This window comes from Homo sapiens, chromosome 8, assembly GCF_000001405.40.
Source record: "Homo sapiens chromosome 8, GRCh38.p14 Primary Assembly".
Taxonomy (NCBI): domain Eukaryota; kingdom Metazoa; phylum Chordata; class Mammalia; order Primates; family Hominidae; genus Homo; species Homo sapiens.
Genome location: NC_000008.11, coordinates 61,358,488 through 61,377,484, shown reverse-complemented (window position 1 = coordinate 61,377,484; position 18,997 = coordinate 61,358,488). Strand labels below are relative to the sequence as shown.

Genomic DNA, 18,997 nt, shown 5'->3' with positions numbered 1-18,997 from the left:
ATACTGATTCAAAATGTCTCCAAACTATGCCCTTAATTTGTTATAGTAATAGTAATTTGTAATAATGTGTCACCAGAAAGCTAAGCAGCATTGCCTTTCTGAGTTACTTCTCATAGAATCCCAGATCCTTAGAAAGTAGAAAGAACCCTAAAGACTAACCATTCTACCCTCCATGTAGCCCAAAAACCTCTTCTCCAAAATCCTCATAAGTGGTCATACAAACAGGAGGTAATTTCATCTGCTTCCTTTGTTTGCACTGAAGTGATCCACTTAAGCGCAAGCTCGGTAGCACGTGACACTCTTGGAAGTAGTGATCTGCAGGGTGCATTTCTGGGGCACAAAAATGCTTCTGAAAGCCCCATGCCACCCCTGTATATGACATGATCATAAAGCAGATGTTTCCTAGTTTTAATTTTTGTGAACTCTCTGATGGATTAAGCCGAACATCTTGGAGCTTTATTCATTATTGCTACAGAGGATAATTTGTGCCTGGGGTAACAGTAATTTGGAGTTATTAATGAAAATGAAAGTTAATTTTAAAAAGCATCTAAAACTCTGGCTGAGGCAAAAACATGGAGTACTCAGATGAATTTAATCCAAGTTTCCTTTTTCCACTCCAAAGGATAAATATTACTTTGGTTGCGATAATTTTTTAAAAAGTATGTTGCCACACATGGTCTTGTATTGCGCATTCATTGAACATACCTGCAACCCTTCAATGGCCAGTTTAAGGATTGAAGGTGTCAGTTTGGAGGCTTGTTTGAAGGAAAAATTACTCCAGTCTATAATTAAAATGAAGCCATTTATCTGAAGCTCCGGATCTTCGATTAGGACTTCCAATGACAGCAGGATGGCACGAAGGATGTCTGTGAAGGAGTTCCTGCAGCCAGAGCAGAAAGGAGAGCTGTGTGTGAATATGAGCAGGTGATAGCATGTTGCGTGCAACAGTGCTGGCCTCCGCATGCCACTGCTCCATGAACCCCGCCTGGAGGGTCACACTGGCGTCCTGTACCCAAAGGGACTGAAAATACATTTGCTAAACTTCACAGCCATAATGCTTCAAGACTTGCAGGTTGGACACCTCCCTTGGCTCTGCACCCCAAACTTAATGAGATGTCCCTCTTCTGTGTTCCTGTGGCTTTCCATACTCTGCTTCCTCCACAGCCCCAATTGCATTTTGTTGAAATGCATCCCTTACCCATCTTTCTCCCTCACAGAGCTCTGATGTCCTTGAGGGTAGGGATTGCGCCATAATCATAGTTGTTTCCCCAGTACAATGAATCATTGCTGAACAAATGAGGTGAGGCCTCAATCAGAGGTGTTTATTTTGATGAAAGCTCTTTTATTTCCTTTATGTTTAAAAAATCCTGCTAAGAATGTAGAAACATTCATGCCATTGATGCTATTTTTTAGCTTCAACTCTTGGATAGAGAAAAATAAAACAGGAAGTATGACTTATTTTCAGTGAAGGTCTACAGAGTGTGATTTGGGAGGGAATTCGCTTTGAGTACATCAGTAACTATGACAACAGGCAGACCTGAATACAAACTAGAATGACAGCTCTCCAGTTCTGTGTGTATTCCTCCACATCATATATGCCCATTTGCCACGTGATTTTTGTTTTAAATAATTTTCAGACATGAAGAAGTGATGGCAAATTCACTCTATTTCACTCAGTAAATTATCTGAGCTATAAATCTAAGATCTTAGAGGATCTCTAGATTCAGTGTTTTTCTTTGGTGAGCAGGAAAATATGAGCTTGGATGGCAAGTGATGGCAAAATCTGCTACTCCCCCTAAGTTTTCCTTAAAATCAGAAGCCAAGTCCTCTTGTGAAATCAGTGTGAAACAATCAGAATCTTGAGCATTCCAATCTGGTTCAAAGCCAATGACTCCAGATTAGAAATCAGGAAATCTGTGATAAAAATGTAAGCCAGGGCCAGGCGGTGGCTAAAGCCTGTAATCCCAGGACTTTTAGAGGCCGAAGCAGGCAGATCACCTGATGTCAGGAGATTGAGACCAGCCTGGCCAACATGGTGAAACCCCGTCTCGACTAAAAATACAAAAATTAGCTGGGCGTGGTGGCGGGCACCTGTAATCCCAGCTACTTGGGAGGCTGAGGCAGGAGAATCGCTTGAACCCAGGAGGTGAAGGTTGCAGTGAGCTGAGATCGCGCCATTGCACTCCAGCCTGGGAGTTGCAGCCAGCCTCTGTCTCATAAAAAAAAAAAAAAAAAAATGCAAGCCACTAAGAATATACTAAATGCCTGGTAGAAACTCAGTGTTATGCCTATGCTTAAAGTTATAAATTAGAATGTCCTATTTCTACTTTCAAAGGACTCTTATTTTAGTTGGGGAGGGGTGGTAGATTAGCAACATGAAAGGAATCAATACAATTTGAGTAGTCAGGGAAGAGTTTATGGAGGGATGAAGGCTCGGGATAATCTTGAAGAATGGATAGGAATTTTATGGATAATTGGGAAAAGGGGGAGCAAGACTTTTTCAGGAGAGAGAAGTGACACAGATAAAAAATAAAGATATTAGCCCATTCTGTTTCTGTATAGTTCTTCTTACTAAAAATCATTTCCTTATATTAAGCCAAAATTTTCCTCCTTCAAATCCACCCAGTGGGGGTAGTTCTGCTATATAGAAAAAACCCTCAAGTCTCCCCACACCACACACTTTCAACTATCTAAGCATGGTGGTCATGATACCCTACATAATCTCTAGATTAAAAAAAATTGTAACTTTAACCTTTTCTCATAGAAAATGGTGCTTAATACTCTTTTTGTCATTATGGTTTCCTTTCAGATATATTCCCTTTTAATTTTTAGAGATGTCCTATTCCTGTTGTTGTAGAATAGGTTTTCATTGGGACTTTGTGTGCTTTTGTTTTTCCTTTCACATCAAAACAATTATCCAAAGACCCAAGTCTTTTTCAGAGATACAGCTTTGTATTGGAAGCAAACATTGATTTAAGAGGAACAAGGGAGCAAAGATTATGAATTTAGGCAATTCCAAATGGAAATGCCCAATTGGTAAACCGGAAATGATCATTAGGGCATCAGGGAGTCTGAGCCGAGATAAGCTTTCTTAGGAAGAGCATAAACACAGAGAAAGTCAGGATGGAAAGGTTAAGCCTAAGGTAAAGCTTACATACAGCACTGAGGTTGAAGGAGGAAGAATTAAATAATAAAAGGGGAGAGGATCAAGGTTCTGTTAAAAAAGAAAAAGAAGAAGAAGAGAATGTTTCAAGAAGCAAGGGTATGACAGATTGCATTACTGTGTTACTGACACCAATTCTTCACTTATCCCTGTATCCACACACTAGCTATGGCCTCCTTGAGGATACAGTGTATTTTTTGTCCCTTGTTCATGTGACTTGATTTGACAGTAAACATTATTGTAACTTTAACCACTGGCACCATGACAGGATGCCAATTCCAAGCCTAGCTCTCAAGAGACTTCAGATGTTACCACTGTTCTCTTGCCCTTCTACCGTTGCTATAGTAAAAAATATGCGACAGCCAGCATGCTGAACTGTGAACAAGGGTGAAAGACACACAGACCAGTGACTCCCCAGCCAACTAGCAGGTTTTCATTAGAAGTAGTGCTACCTAGTTGAACCCAGCCTAGATAAACTGCAGCTACCCACAGGTGCATAAGCAGCAATAAATGATTGCTTTCTTAAGCCACAGAGTTTTGAGATGGTTTGTTACATAGCAATAGCTATCCAACACCAAAAGGTAGTTAACAAAGTCAAATGAAGAAAAAAGATCAAGGAGAATAGGAAGGAGAAAGGACCATTGAATTTCACAGCAAATACTCTTTTGGGGGTTGTGGGAGAGCACTTTTAGTTGAATGGTGAAGATAGAAATAATTAACTTTGAAGATCTTAAGCAAATTACTTAATCTCTATCTCATTTTACTCCTTTAACTACAAGCTGGCACATCTTTTCAACACATATCCACACTTACCCACTCCAAGAGAAAATACTGAGCTCTGCCTGGAAACCATTCTATGCATTTTGGAGACCACAACCTTTATTGCAGCACAGGCACTGGCAGTGAAGGAAATGTTATGTTCCTGGGATGATCCCAGGAGAAAAGTAAAAGGTTTATGGACTTCATTACAGTTTCCAAATGTTTGAATGCTTTACTTTTCCAGAGAAACTGGGCAGGCAGGAAAGAGTTGCACGGACTGTGTCTTGAGTCATGAAGCTTTGCCAGTGTGGAGGAGTGTAAGCCTACCTCTTACCTTAGCTGCAGTCATTACCTTGATTTCCTTAGTTCTTGGCTTCCTTGTATGAATTTCCTCGTTGTTTTCCTCTTCGCTTTTTATAACACCCTTTGACTTCTGGACTCCTAGCTTTTTAAAATTTAAAATGGCTATCAGACTTAATAATTTATGTAGATACTCCACCCTCAAAAACATGGAGCATAACTCCCCACTCCATAAGTGAGCTGAGCATTGTGGCTTCCTTCAAAGAGTACAGTATAGAAAGAGGAAGAAGAGTTACTGTACAGTGGAGAAACACTACCTTAGCCAGGTGATCCAGCTCAACCTAGCCAGTGATACATCATGTTGACTGTATTTATTCTTCCTAAGGTGATGAAAATGGCACTTGACCTCTATGATCTTCCTCCCAAATAAATATAACCCAAGAGTAATCATGAGAAAAACATTAGACAAATTCCAATTGAGGGACATTCTACAAAATACCTGACAGGTACTGCTCAAAATTGTCAAGTTTATCAAAAAACAATGAAAGTCTGAGAAACTGTCACAGCCAAGAGGAGCCTAAAGAAACATAAAGACTAAAGGTAATGTAGGATCTTGGGTGGGATCCTGGGACAGAAAAAGAACATTAAGTAAAAACTAAAAAAAAAAAAATCCAAATAACGTATGGACATTAATGAATAACGTATTAATAATGGTTCATTAGTCGTAACAGTAACACTGTACTACTATAAGCTGAAAATAATAGACGAAATTAGAAGGCAGGACATAGGGGAAGTCTCTGTACTGTCTTCACAGTAATTGTGTAAATCTAACATTGTTGTAAATAAAAAGTTTATTTTTAAAAAATAAATGCCTTCTAGAGTTTATAATCTGCCAGAGTAAATCTTCATAAATATTCTAACAAGGATCCTAAGCAAACCAAAATGGTCATAAGCAGTTCACCTACTTTATGCAAATTGCAGAAATGAGAAGAGAAGACATTTCTAGAGTTTCTTCATTCTACCAAATCATTTACATTTATATATGGTTTTACTCCAAAAACTCAGGGGGAAATTTTTTTTGATTTATTTTATTGCCTGCAATCACAATTCTATCAGAGTATTTTAGCACTTGTATCAAAATGAACTAACATGACAAATGGATATTTACATTTCTTCCACCCTTTTCTATAATTTGCATAGCATTTATACAGTCAGTTATGGATATTAGTTTTGAATTAATTATAAGTTCAAATGTGATAATGTATGTGAGAGGACTATGTGAACTGCAAATTGCCAGTGAAATGTAGAGAACTCTATTAGCAGAAAATAGAAAACTTAAATTTTTTCCCCATAAAGGATTTTATACAAGTTAGGACTTAGTAAATGTTTATCTACAGGGGTTTCATCATTATACTGTGAGCAGTTAGAGATTATGAATAGTGACTCATTTTTAGGTTCTACTGTTGTATATACGAGTTAAGCACCTGAGGCTTTAAAACCTAAGTCAACAGCACCATACAAATGAAATACAAAATAGTGGAAATTAGTAAGTTCTTACCAATGAGAAAGTATTCAAATTTCAAAACATGGCCCATTTGTGCTTTGAGTTTTTAGTGGAGATTCCAGAACTTGATCCCAGTGCTAGACTCATAAGAAAAATAAGGCTATAAGTGATCAGATAACCATGTAAAGATATGATGGAGTTGAAGGAGACATTTTTTTTTAGAAGGAATAGGAGGCAGCCTCTTAGTCAATTCTGAAATCACAGGGCATATTCCTGTACTAATTTTTTGTGCTGCAGCAAGACATCTATTACAGACAACCCACAAAGTGGGAGAAAATATTTGCAAACTATGCAACTAATAAAGGACTAATATCCAGAATCTACAAGGAACTCCAACAAATAAGCAAGAAAAAGACAAATAATTCCATCAAAATGTGGGCTAAAGACGTGAATAGACACTTCTCAAAAGAAGATATACAAAGGGCCAACAAACATATGAAAAAATGCTCAACATCACCAATTATCAGGGAAAGACAAATCAAAACCACAATGCAATACCTAAACTTACTCCTGCAAGAATGGCCATAATCAAAAAAATAATAGTTGTTGGCATGGATGTGGTGAAAAGGGAACGCTTTTACACTGCTGGTGGGAATGTAAACTAGTACAACCACTATGGAAAACAGCATGAAGATTCCTTAAAGAAATAAAAGTAGATCTACCATTTGATCCAGCAATCCCACTGAGTATCTACTCAGAGGAAAAGAAGTCATTATAAGAAAAAGACACTTGCTCATGCATGTTTATAGTGGGATAATTTGCAATTTCAAAAATATGGAATCAGCCCAAATGTCCATCAATCAACGAGTAAATAAAGAAAATGTAGTATGCCATGGAATACTACCCAAACATAAAAAGGAATGAAATAATGGCATTCACAGCAACCTGAATGGAGTTGGAGACCATTATTCTAAGTGAAGTAACGTGGGAATGGAAAGCCAAACATCATATCTTCTCACTTAGAAGTGGGAGCTAAGCTATGAGGATGCAAAGGTATAAGAATGATACAGTGGCCGGGCGCGTGGCTCACACCTGGAATCCCAGCACTTTGGGAGGCCTAGGCGGGCGGATCACGAGGTCAGGAGATCAAGACCATCTTGGCTAACACGGTGAAACCCCATCTCTACTAAAAATACAAAAAATTAGCCTGACGTGGCGTCGGGCACCTGTAATGCCAGCTACTCAGGAGGCTAAGGCAGCAGAATGGCATGAACCCAGGAGGCGGAGCTTGCAGTGAGCCGAGATCGTGCCACTGCACTCCAGCCTGGGTGACAGAATGAGAGTCTGTCTCAAAAAAAAAAAAGAATGATACAGTGGACTTTGGAGACTTGGGGGGAAGGATAGGAGGGGAATGAGAAATAAAAGGGTACACATTGGGTACAGTGTACACTGTTCAGGTGACAGGTGCACCAAAATCTACTAAAGAACTTATCCATGTAACCGAACACCACCTGTTCCCCCAAAACTTTATTGAAATAAAAACAAAAAATAAAATTTTTTTTATAAAAAAACTCTTTGCCCAGTTCTGTCTTTAAACCTCTTGACATCACACTTAATATGATGATTTGACTTTGGAAATTTCTTAAGGTCCACCACAAACCACAAAGTGGTTTTGCAGATGATTTTTGCCAAATATCTATGTCTTGGTTATAGGTGCAAAACATTGCATCCCACCACATGTCTTCCTCTCTTCATCTCATTTGAAACTTCTTCCAAAATTACTTCCTAAAATAACTATGATGTGGTTCTTACAGTTTCAGAGTGTGCTTTGCCTTTCCTCTGATAATGATGTCTAAGCCAAGGTGGAGAGGCAAATGTGCTCCTTCTGTACATCTGCTGATGTATTTTGACCTCTAGACTGGGGAAAAATCCTCCTTTGGCAAACTGGCAAAAGGGCCTGTACTTGAGAAAGGTGATTGGGCTTAACACTGTGGATCTGCCACTCACCAAACATGCAACCATCCATACAAACTGAAGTTCAGCAATGGACAATTTCCTGTTTCTTACACTTGTAGGGTTATCGCTAGCACTATCCAAAATAATACGTGTGAAGGAGCCTCCTATCCCAACAGGAGGCAGTATTTGTATTTACATGAATTATAGAGATATCCCTCTTAGTCACTGTTTTCATGAAGATGATAGTAGCAGGACAATAGGGAGTGTGCAAATTTTAATTGTTTTGTTTCCAGGTGAGCTTATTTTCTCCTCTTCTAGGCCTGTGGGTCTTTGAAAAACTGTCTAAAATGGGAATTCACGTGAGACACTCTCTTAAATGGTTTGTAATAACTCTTACATAATTCAGGTTTTAGCTGAATGTGTGCCATCATGCTCCTAAGCAAATAAATCCTTATTTCTCAGTGAGGTAATCAAGGAGAAAGAAAAAAAATTGTGTTCTGAAAATATGAGATTCAAGAAGTGTGCTAATGAAAAATGTTTGGCTTTGCTCTAGTAGAATTAATATTAGCAAAATGTTGTATTAAATTTACTACCCTGAATCTTGGCTGGAAACTTAAATTAGACAATCACTTTTCTCAGCAAAATTGGTCACAAAGAGAACAGAAGCCTGGATTTAACTCCATCTCACATAACTTGATGAGGCTCATATTCTCAAGAAGAAAAAGGAAGGATGGAAGGGAAGAAGAGAAAAGCGAAAAGGAAGAAAGACGGGGAGAGAAAGAAGAGGGGAGGGAGGGAGAGGGAGAAGAAAAGAACAAAAGGAAAGGAAAGGAAAGAAAAAATCCTGCAAGCAAATTTTCATCTCTTTGAATTTTATCTTATTTCAATCAGTACTGGAAACTTTTGGAATTGTGTTAGCATAAGAATATAATTCTCTGAAATACCAGAATAATGAGTTGTCTAACTTATTATTAATTGTAATTCAAGAATACTTGGCATTCAAAGCCTCAGCATCAGATTTTTAGAAATAATGTATTGAATACTATTATATTCAAACATCTGATAACACACAGGTGGAGTTTTAGACAGGGAGCCAGCTACATTATTTCATCTGCTTCTGAATTTTTGGTTCAGTTCAGTTCACAGATGCTTGACTAAGAATAGTGTTTATTTTATAAAAACAGCTAGAGTCATTGCAAATGTGTGTCTCTCTAGCAAGTATGGCAACAATATATGGAGAGAGTTTGGGGACTGTCATCCTCTGCCCCAGTCCACCCCTATCTGACCAATGCTACTGAGGACAAAACACAAAGGGTAATGTTCTTGTCCAAGAACAAGGCCCTGACTTTGAAATAGTATAGAGAATATTGGACAAACACAGTGAAGACAATATTCTCTCAAGTACAGCATGGAAATAAGAGCCCGTGTTTCTCCAGACCACTCCTGGCAGGCCTATCCATCTCTGGATATAGACACTAGAGTGCAAAGCATTCATATCCACCACTTAAAATGACACTGAAACTAAAGCTTTTAAATTCCAATCTGCCTGGATATTTTTTCATTTGTGTTTCTGCGGAGAAATAGAGTATGTATCACTGTGTGTGTGCATGTGCAATAACTCACCATTTACAGTTAATTTCCCTAGATGTTGTCTTCCCTCTAGTTCTTTGATTTAAATAAAGCAGTGGTTTGAATAAATAAAAACCAACATTTTATCACATTTGGTCCAGGTGCTTCTGTATTCTCTCAAGAATTGAAGAGAATGAAATCAGCATCAAATGCATCTATTTCTTCACTTCAAAATTTAATGCAATTTCTTACTATTCGATGTCTTCTTTTAAAACTGTTGAAGTACCTGCAACTGCAATAAGGAGTCAGGAGGCATTTGTACAAAGATTTAATGATTCTGTACGTTGTGGAAGACACAAAGAGAAAAAAGTAATTTTACTTTCCTGCCAGTAGATGGAAATCAGTAGGAGACAGTAAAATATATGTACATGGGAGGCAATGAGGATTTAGAGTTCGGCAGAGTCTGATTTAAATCCCAGCTGTCCTATGTAAGGTTAGCAAGTAACTTAATCTCTGTGTGGTTTCATTCCCTCATCTGTAGGAGGAGGATCACAGCACCTACACCTCACTGGTAATGATGAAGTGCAGAGTGCACATAAAGCCTTAGCAGCTCATGGTAATGCACAGAAAGTGCTGATGGTCATGGTAGTCTCATTATTACCTGAGTAAATATGACATGAAGGAGAAAGTAACAGGGGTTGCAAAGTGCTTGGGAATTACAAGAAGGAGAGATCACTTATGATTGGGGAGTTTTGGAAAGTCTTCCACTGGGTCATGAGAAATGGGGAGGTTTGGACACTAGACATAGAAGGGAAAGGGCAGAAGGAGCCACATAAACAATAGTAAGAGCTTAGCGTGTAGACACCATGTATTGAAGGAATGCAAAGTTTTCCTGTGCAATGGGGCAAATGAAAAGGAAGGTAAAAATAAGATCAGAAATGTGATTGTGATTCATCTCATTCTGCTTGGTGGGAGAACTGCTGACTGTTATGCTGATGAAGGAAATGATGGCTTCTGTGCCTCAGGGAGATTTGGGCTGGCAGCAGGAACTATGTGCATCAAAGGCAGGGGACTGGAGTCGAGCAGCTCCATTAAAGGGAAGTGATGCAATACACTGGGTGAGAGTTGAATGGAAATAATAGAGATGTGGGAGGAACCATGAAGGATAGTAGCCAGGACTTAGGTACCAATTAGATATGGGTGTGAAGAGAGGAAGGACTGAAGGAACTAAGTCAGGTAGGAGGTGAGTCAGAGGTGCTGTAGTTGTGACTAGTTCTTACATAGTAGGAATCAGCACCCAGCACAGTATCACACAATATTAATATTAACATTACTTGATATCAGGGCTGTCAAGGGTTACTCAGAAGTATATGGGCTGGTAGTGTCTACCAAATGTGATAAAATACCACCATGAGCAGGTGCCACGTCTGCAGAAGAGAATATTTCCTGTCCTATTTATAACAAAGGAATGCTTGCACTGCTAGTCTAGACCATCAGCTCCAACCAAGCTGGGGGTTTGATGCATTTGCCTTTGAATCCCTGGCAATCACCAGTACCTATACATAGTAGATGCTCAGCAAATGTTTCTTAGCGAAAGAAGGAAGGTAGGCATGGTGCCAACTTGCCTTGACCAACACTGAGATCACTAGTGGTTGAATTTCCTTACTCTTCAAAGTTTCTCATGCTCATTGCTGACGTCTGATGTGTGTCCTTAAGTATTTTCTATTATGACTCATGCTTATAGAGAACAATGTATTACTGAGCACCTTGGGTCCAAGAGGAGGAAAGGAAACAGATTTGATTCTGGTTTAGGAGAGGGCCATGCCTGCATTCACATAAGGTTAATGTAGTGTGAATGCAGTCAGTGATAAAATGCAGTCAAGAACAGTGAATAACAAATGCTAGATGGATGCTTACAAACAGGAAGGCTTGTATACCATGAGACTCTTAGCCATTGGGAAAGATCTGGTCCTCAAACACCACTTTAAGACAGCCCAAAATATAAATGGGGAAGGGTTTATTTCATGTAGCTCTCTGGATAGAGATTGCACCAGGGCCCATAGAGAGCAGCAGCAGAAGAAAGCAGAAGAAATTAAAAACAAAACAAAAAATGATCCCAATGGAAGTGAGCTATGATCTTCCCATCTATTACTAAACAAATATAAAAAATTAATTTCATGCTTGTCTATTCTAGTAAATCCCTTGGCTGAGGATCTGCAGAAAAGTAAAAACTAGGAAGAGTTTCAAGAATGCAAATAAGCACTTAATACAGCTAAATTAGCATTGGTTTAAGCACTTCCGTTTTGGCCATTCTATTTTCAGTCAAGGTTTACACCAGGGTTTTTCTACATCCACAAACCAAAAGCAGGCAGTAGGTCACCAGATGTCTCAGCCTTCCTGTCTAATGACATAGAGTGATTTCACAATTCATGATGGACAACACACACACACACACACGCACACACACACACACACACACCCTGTAAACTGGCATCTTCTAAAATCACAAACATATGACTTCGGAGATGATTCTTTAATTATTCCATGAAGATTTCTTGAGCACTAGGCATGGAGCTAGGATCATATCAGCCTACTCAGAGCCACAAACAGCAAAATCTCCCCGACATGAGTGAATTAAGTAAGATGGTCACATTACTCCTACTTCCAATGAAACTCAATTGACATTTATAGATTTTTTTTTTTTTTGACATGGTGTTTCACTCTTGTCACCTAGGCTGGAGTGCAGTGGTGCAATCCCAACTCACTGCAACCTCTGCCCCCAGGGTTCAAGCTATTCTCCTGCCTCAGCCTCCCGAGTAGCCGGGATTACAGGCACCCACCACCACACCCAGCTAATTTTTATATTTTTGGTAGAGACGGGGTTTCACCATGTTGGCCAGGCTGATCTCCAACTCCTGACCCAGGTGATCCGCCCGCCTCGGCCTCCCAAAGTACTGGGATTACAGACGTGAGCCAACGCACCTGGCCAACATTTATAGATCTTGCATTGGGTTCATGGAAATGTGCTAGTCACTACCTGAAATAGAATATTCTTTCTCCTGAACCTGACTCTTATAACCATAAAATCACTTTTGGGATAAGAAATTGGATAATATGATGAGGCTTTTTAAAAGAAAAATATCTATCCTTTGGTACTACATTGCTTTGAATGATTTTACACTCCTGAGCTCCTTCCCTCTCAATGATATTCTGCAGTCACTCTTGCAATCAAGAGGTACCTTTCTGAAATCATAAACTCTGATAACAGTGTGCAAGGCAACTTGAATTAAATAGTGAATTAGTAAAGCAACTCTGTATGTATTGCTTTTCATGGGAAGCACACCTGTAACTTGAGTTAGAAGTATACAGCATCTCATAATTTTAATTAACTCAGGAAATTGCCTACTCCAATGAAAACTCCAAACCTCCGTATTTAATAAAGAGATCAATACATTCTACAAGGATAACATGCTTTTACAACCAAGGGAAGCCTTAAGCCTCTAAAATTAGTTGCCTATAATGAGCAATCTGAACCCTGAAAAATATGGCTAATTCACACCTAATAGAAATGGATTGAACTTAGAGAATCTGTAGTCTGATTTAAGTTTTAAAAGTTGGTTTATCCTTTCTCATTTTACAAATTCTATCCTTCTTAATCATAAGAAACTTAAACAGAGGCAGGCAATCAAATTCATGAAATATTAAAAGGAATGAGCTGTAGGAAATTATTATGTAACTGAAAGAAAAGTCTTATCTTTATAGGTAATACATTCAAGGCAGTTTTGATAGAAATGCAACTTGTTGGCTGTTTTGCAGGCTGGTATTCTTCTATGTGGGTATCATCCTTCAACAGTTTATCTTCCTCAAGACACATCATTGTTATGAGATTCTTGGAGCTATCAGGATATAAGGCTGCTGTGACTTCCACAGCTCTGAGGTGCAGGAACACCCTGACCACTGACTACACTATTTCTGAGTTTTGGCACCAATAAGGCAAGGCTGATGGAAAGAACTCTTGGTCTTGACCAACTCCTGTAATGCCTAGTGGTGGCTAACAAGTAACAATAATGATAGGTGGCTTGATCATCCTTCAAAACCAGGTTAAATATATTCCCCTGAGGAGAAAAGCTTTCTGCAAATGCTACCAACACTTCTTCTAGAAGTGAGTATGTGATTAACTTGGGCAGAAAAGTCCCCTTTGGAGGTTTCCAAAGTCATTTGGAGCCTAGAGCACTGTAAATATGAGAGTTAATTGGCAGGACCAGATGTGTCAGGATAGAGATGTGGGAGTTCTTAGGATTTTTCTAGAGAAGGGCCCACAGACACACCCATGGCGCCCCTGCCTAGCCCAAGTCAGGTAGGTCACAGAGACTAAAGAGTGGCCTCACCCTCTCCCTGACTCTCTTCATAAACCAGTGGGCTGAGAGCTCTATTGGACCTACTTTTGTTCCCTGGTCAGAACACAGGCTCCAGCCTAATTCTAAGAATCAGAAACAAACAAAAGATAGCATTTAATAAGTTCACAAAAGAACAAACATAGGAACATGGGGTCAACATAGTTCATTTAGCAACAATAACAACAAAATCCAATGGACTGGTTGACTTTTCCTATCCAAAGTTCTGTGTGTTTGGAGAGTTAATTTTGCTCTACCAGGTAACATTACCCACAGAAGCTCTGATGCCTCACTGGGAAATTATTTTATGAAAGTGGTGAAAGAAAACATTGGTTTCTTTTCCTTAATTACATCCCGAATTATCACTTGGAAATTCTCTAAGCAATCAGAGCCAGTGGTTATTATTTATCACTGCCACTTAACAGTAGCTACACTGCAGGAGATACTGTAAAACATCAGCGTACATTCCCTTCAAAGTGGGTCCAAAATATCCTACACTCTGAATAGCAAACAGAATTTGGAAAATGCGTTAAATATGTATATAGACACAATTTACATATTTTAAATTCTCACACAAGGAGAAAATACATTTTAGGATTTAGGATTTTGCTGGAGAAGGATGTCAGTGCCTATATTTATCTTAACAAAATCTCAGGGATTGTTCTCAATAGAGAAACCCTTGAGAAGACTGCTTAGAAAGATCAGCAGTTTAATTTCCAAAGGGGAAAAGAGGAAAAAATGTGAATGCTCAGCCCCTGGAAAGTTCTATCTGAAATTTTACCTCCTGCTTTAATCCTTGCCTGCTACAAGTTGATGACCCGTTACCTATCTTTTTTCCATTAACTAAGTTACAAGGAGCGCTTTCCTAGTTCTGGCTCATATAGAACCTTCCCAGAGAAAAGAGCTGTCTCTTTCACCCACATTCAGAAATCGGGAGTCTTACTTACCCACCTACATAATTCTTTGAACCCTGAGGCAACATATAAATATTGTAAGTAATTGCTGACTGCAGCAAGCTGAAGTATCAGGAAAGCTTGGGGAGAGAGTGAATTAAGATGGAGGCTGGTTCTTCCAGATGGATTTGCAATTCAGATAGAATCAGGCAAGGAGAGCTAACAGGAATCTTTGTAATTAATAGTGATCTTCAACTGGAGGTAAATTCACCTCCTTTCCAATTGGGGGACCTCTGAAAATGTAAGTGGGACTTCATTACTGGTTTTCAGAATATTTAGAGAATACTACCAGCATTTATTGGGCAGAGGGCAGTAATTATAAATATCCTGCAATGTGCAATATAACCCCCAGAATAATATACCATCCAAATGGTAGTAACCTCTTTCTGTCATATAATGAAACTCAGATCTGGAAGGGCTCAGTGAAACCAGATGAACAGTTATGTGTACAGTGGGTACAAGGTTCCCGACTCCTAGGTCCAGTGTGCTTGACATGTCTGTGAGACTTACAGAACATTCAAAGAAAGAAATGACTGTAAGGGGAGACTGACCAATGTATGAAATGAGGAATATTCTTTCCTCTTCTTCCCTACCTAGAACATTCTTTCCCTTCTCCACTTTGGGCTGACTCTTTCTCATCTTTCAGGTCTTGGCCAAATGTCCCATTCTTAGGGAGACCTTCCTACCACAGGAAGTCACAGAGTATTGACAATGACTCCCATCTTGACCAAACTCTGAGCCCTTTTCCTGAGTAGGCCTCATGCTTGGCCCGTGTTCTCAGCCTTCAAAGCCCAGTTTTAGCAAAGAACTCTGCTAAGCCAATTTGTTGAGAATCCCCTTACCCTTGATATTAATCAAGTTCCTCTTTTTCCTCACTCTGTCCTTGACACCTGACTACGTTTCTCCTAGTAATTTTTCATCAACAGCCTCACTCTGCCTGTGGCTACAAATTCTCATTTGTTCCTATTGTATTTGGAGTTGTGTTCAGTCTCTGTACCCTATTACAGTAGCCTTTACTTCCTATTGCAACACACTTGAGCAAAGTCTTTACTGTCATTTTAAGGTGTCCAGTATATACCATTTCTTTTATAATATTAATAAATGAATATATATCACATGCATATATTCCAAACATGAGTGATCTGGATAGCTGTTTCCACATGGGATAGTTGGCCTGAAAGTAGGGATAGAAACATGGTGGATGAGATAAAGGAACTCCTAATAAGGTGAATGCAATCAAGACTGGGTTTTTCCTTCTAAAATAAGACCCTGAAGAACTCTCTCTGTACAGCCAGAGATGGGCTATGGGGAAGACTTATTGCATCCATTTGACCTAATGAGCTTTCTCTGCAGCCAAGGCAGACAGTTGTGTCAAACTATGAGACAGGGAAAAGTAAGTCTCTAAAAGGCTTGGAGAATGTCCTTTGAGGTATTTAATTTACAAAGGAGACAACCTAGCATCTTGGGATTATGTGGACAAAATGAAAGCTGGGATACTATTGAGTAGGGCAGACTCTTTCAGTTATTATTCCATGCTTACAGGACACATTCATTTTTTACTAATCTGTGCATTCTTCCCTGACACATTAGTCATCATTGAAAGCTTGAAGACATCTGATATGATTTGGATCTGTGTCCCCACCAAATCTCATGTTGAATTGTAATCCCAATTGTTGGAGGTGGGGCCTGGTGGGAGGTGATTGTATCATGGGGGCAGAGTTCTCATTAATGGGTTAGCACCTTCCCCTTGGTGGTGTCCTGGTGATAAAGAGTAAGTGACTTATAGTGAGATCTGCTTGTTTAAAAGTGTGTAGCACCCCCTCCCCCTTTTCTCTCTTCCTTCTGCCCCTGCCATGTAAGATGTGCCTGCTTTCCTTTCACCTTCCACCATGATTGTAAGTTTCCTGAGGCCTCTGGAGAAGCAGCAGCCACTATTTCCTGTACAGCCTGCAGAACTATGAACCAATTCAACCTTTTTTTTAAATAAATTATCTAGTCTCAGATATTTCTTTATAGAAGTACAAGGATGGACTAATACAACATCTCTTAGAGAAAATCAACTATAGCATTTATTGCTTATTATTTAAGCAAGTCGTCACAAATTCTTCAAGAATCAGTGAAAGAGCTTGTGTTTATTATTCCACATCGGTGCTATAAATGGCATCTCACATATTCTTTCTTATGCCTAATGCAAAGTTGTCAAGAAGAAAACATCATACTTTAAAAACAAAAACAAAAACTTCAGACTAATCTTGAAATCTAACAAAACAGAAACTTCTTCTGAATTTATGTAGCTCCAGTAAGTTGGACAAAGCCATCTCAGAAGAGCACAGAGCTTATTCATTTACAAGCCAAAAGACAGTTTGTTCCAGCTAAATTTTACTTGGGCTGGCCTCTCTTAGAAGAAGGTAATATTTGTGTTTTTGATTGATTGATTGATTGATTGGCAATTCTGTTTTAAATGCATGCATACAAAATGTTTGTTCAACCAGATTTTTATCACTGACTATGGGATGCTTTCCATAGTCAGAGGATTTCTGGGTTGGAAATGGAGAAAGGGGACTTCTAGAATCATCTAGGTCCCAAATAAAACCCTGCTTTAGTTTTTTTTGGGTTTTTTAAAGGTGATTAGAAAGCATTTTCTTGCCAGTCACTCACGGCAAATCCTGGTCTCTGGGAAGACCAGGAAGGCCTGTTAATGCAGTGGGAAAGGTGTGTTCTTCTAACTGAAGATCCTAAGTGGTCTCTTAAGTGTTTTTTCCTCCAGATCTCAATGCACAGAGTACTACCCACTTCCACTCAAGTCTGCCCTTTCCCAAACTCCCTGCGGGCCTGCCTACAATGGCTCTGTAGAGTTGCAAGTTGCTTCAGAGGCTGGGATGTGTGTTATCCCTGTTCAGTGCAGGGCCATGCCGATAGCAGGTGCTAGGTAATCCCAAAGAGCTCCAGATACAGGATTCAGCAGCTGGCAACTCAAATGCCTAGGAACGCCAGGCAGGACATGTGAGTGAATGAAGCAGGCCAAGGGGACACAGGCCCACCAGTTTGCTACTCATCTGCAAAAAAACATCTAATTGGGGAAAAGGAAACCAGGTTTTCCCATAGGTTAACTATATACACTTAAACAAATTATATAACTTCTTCAAGATCCCAGTTGACTATTAGTAAAATGCAGTCATATTTATACTAGGTTCAGAGCTCTTACACCTAAATTGATTTTAAGTCTTTTCTGGCCAGGCATGGTGGCTCACACCTGTAATCCCAGGACTTTGGGAGGCCGAGGCAGGTGGATCACCCAAGGCCAGGAGTTCAAGACCAGCCTGGCCAACATGGTGAAACCCCATCTCTACTAAAAATACAAAAATTAGCCGGGCATGATGGCACTTGCCTATCACCCCAGCTTCTCAGGAGGCTGAGGCAGGAGAATCACTTGAACCTGTGAAGCAGAGGTTTCAGTGAGCCAAGGTCGCACCATTGCACTCCAGCCTGGGGGTCGCAGCAAGACTCTGTCTCAAAAAAAGAAAAAAAAAAAGTCTTTTCTAGCATCATTAAACAGAGACACATCTTTATATTCACATTTTAGAAATGAGCAATTTCTCTCTCCTCCAATTCTTTAGCAGATACCAACTTAAAAAGGTCTGAAAACTTAAACATACGTGGTGGACATAATCCAGTTACAGGAACCTAACTCTTTGAGCTAGTGTGGTTGGTAACTTAGTTCTGTGAATGATGAGGGCTTAATTTGTAAATAGCAGTCATAATAAACCGTAATCAGCAAACAAAAACATTTCTCAAGGCAAAATTTAGAACCATTTCTTTTGTATCAACAAGATAATTTCAGGAAACAGAAATCTATAAAAGAAATATGACTATAAGAAAGAATATAACTGAGAATGGATTAAACTTTAAATTATAATAATACAAATTTTCAAGGCAGCATGAAAATATGCTGAGATAGCTGCGTATGCTTCCATAACTTAAAAGAAAAACAGAAAAAATATACATTTAAATATACTTAAATAAGAACAAGTACAAAAGGAAAAGGTTTCATAAGGCCTTCTATACATTTGGGTGGACAACTTAAATCTATGTGCCTGATGTATCCAACACCCAGCCTCATAGTGTCTTGATCACTTGAGTTATATTCTAACATTCTATTGCTCTTTCTCTAATACTCTGTTTGGGTGGCCTCTCTTCTGGGCATACTCAGACCTCAATAGTGAAGATGGGTTCTCAATCCTCTGTTCCCAAAGCTGTTTTTTGTTTGTTTGTTTGTTTGTTTTAATTTAGTGTGAGCATATGTGTTGGCCCAAATCTTTATAATCATGTTCACCACTGTACCTTGGAAAAGAATGATGATGCTATGCCTGGAATTCTGATCAAATGTGGGACTTACCCT

The 18,997-nt window shown here is 39.2% G+C and overlaps 1 protein-coding gene and 1 long non-coding RNA gene across 5 annotated transcripts in view, besides 1 other annotated feature; one reads left to right on the top strand and one right to left on the bottom strand.

The window, feature by feature from the left end:
• CLVS1 (clavesin 1) overlaps positions 1 to 18,997 on the bottom strand; it is a 536,782-nt gene that overhangs the window by 124,145 nt on the left and 393,640 nt on the right. For all 4 annotated transcript variants that reach the window (XM_024447079.2, XM_017013141.2, XM_017013142.3 and 1 more), the window contains one exon: positions 706 to 880. In XM_024447079.2, the coding sequence (XP_024302847.1) occupies positions 706 to 880 (175 nt within the window). The remainder of the gene's footprint in view (positions 1 to 705; positions 881 to 18,997) is intronic.
• The window catches only part of LOC105375870 (uncharacterized), a 29,091-nt gene that overhangs the window by 2,014 nt on the left and 8,080 nt on the right, over positions 1 to 18,997 (top strand). The window lies entirely within an intron of this gene.
• Positions 10,008 to 10,524: an enhancer, noted in NCBI's record as "NANOG hESC enhancer chr8:62279520-62280036 (GRCh37/hg19 assembly coordinates)". NCBI's record gives its function as "activates a minimal SCP1, AML or CMV promoter by ChIP-STARR-seq in naive H9 embryonic stem cells {active_cell/tissue: H9 hESC(naive)}" and the evidence as "EXISTENCE:reporter gene assay evidence [ECO:0000049][PMID:30033119]".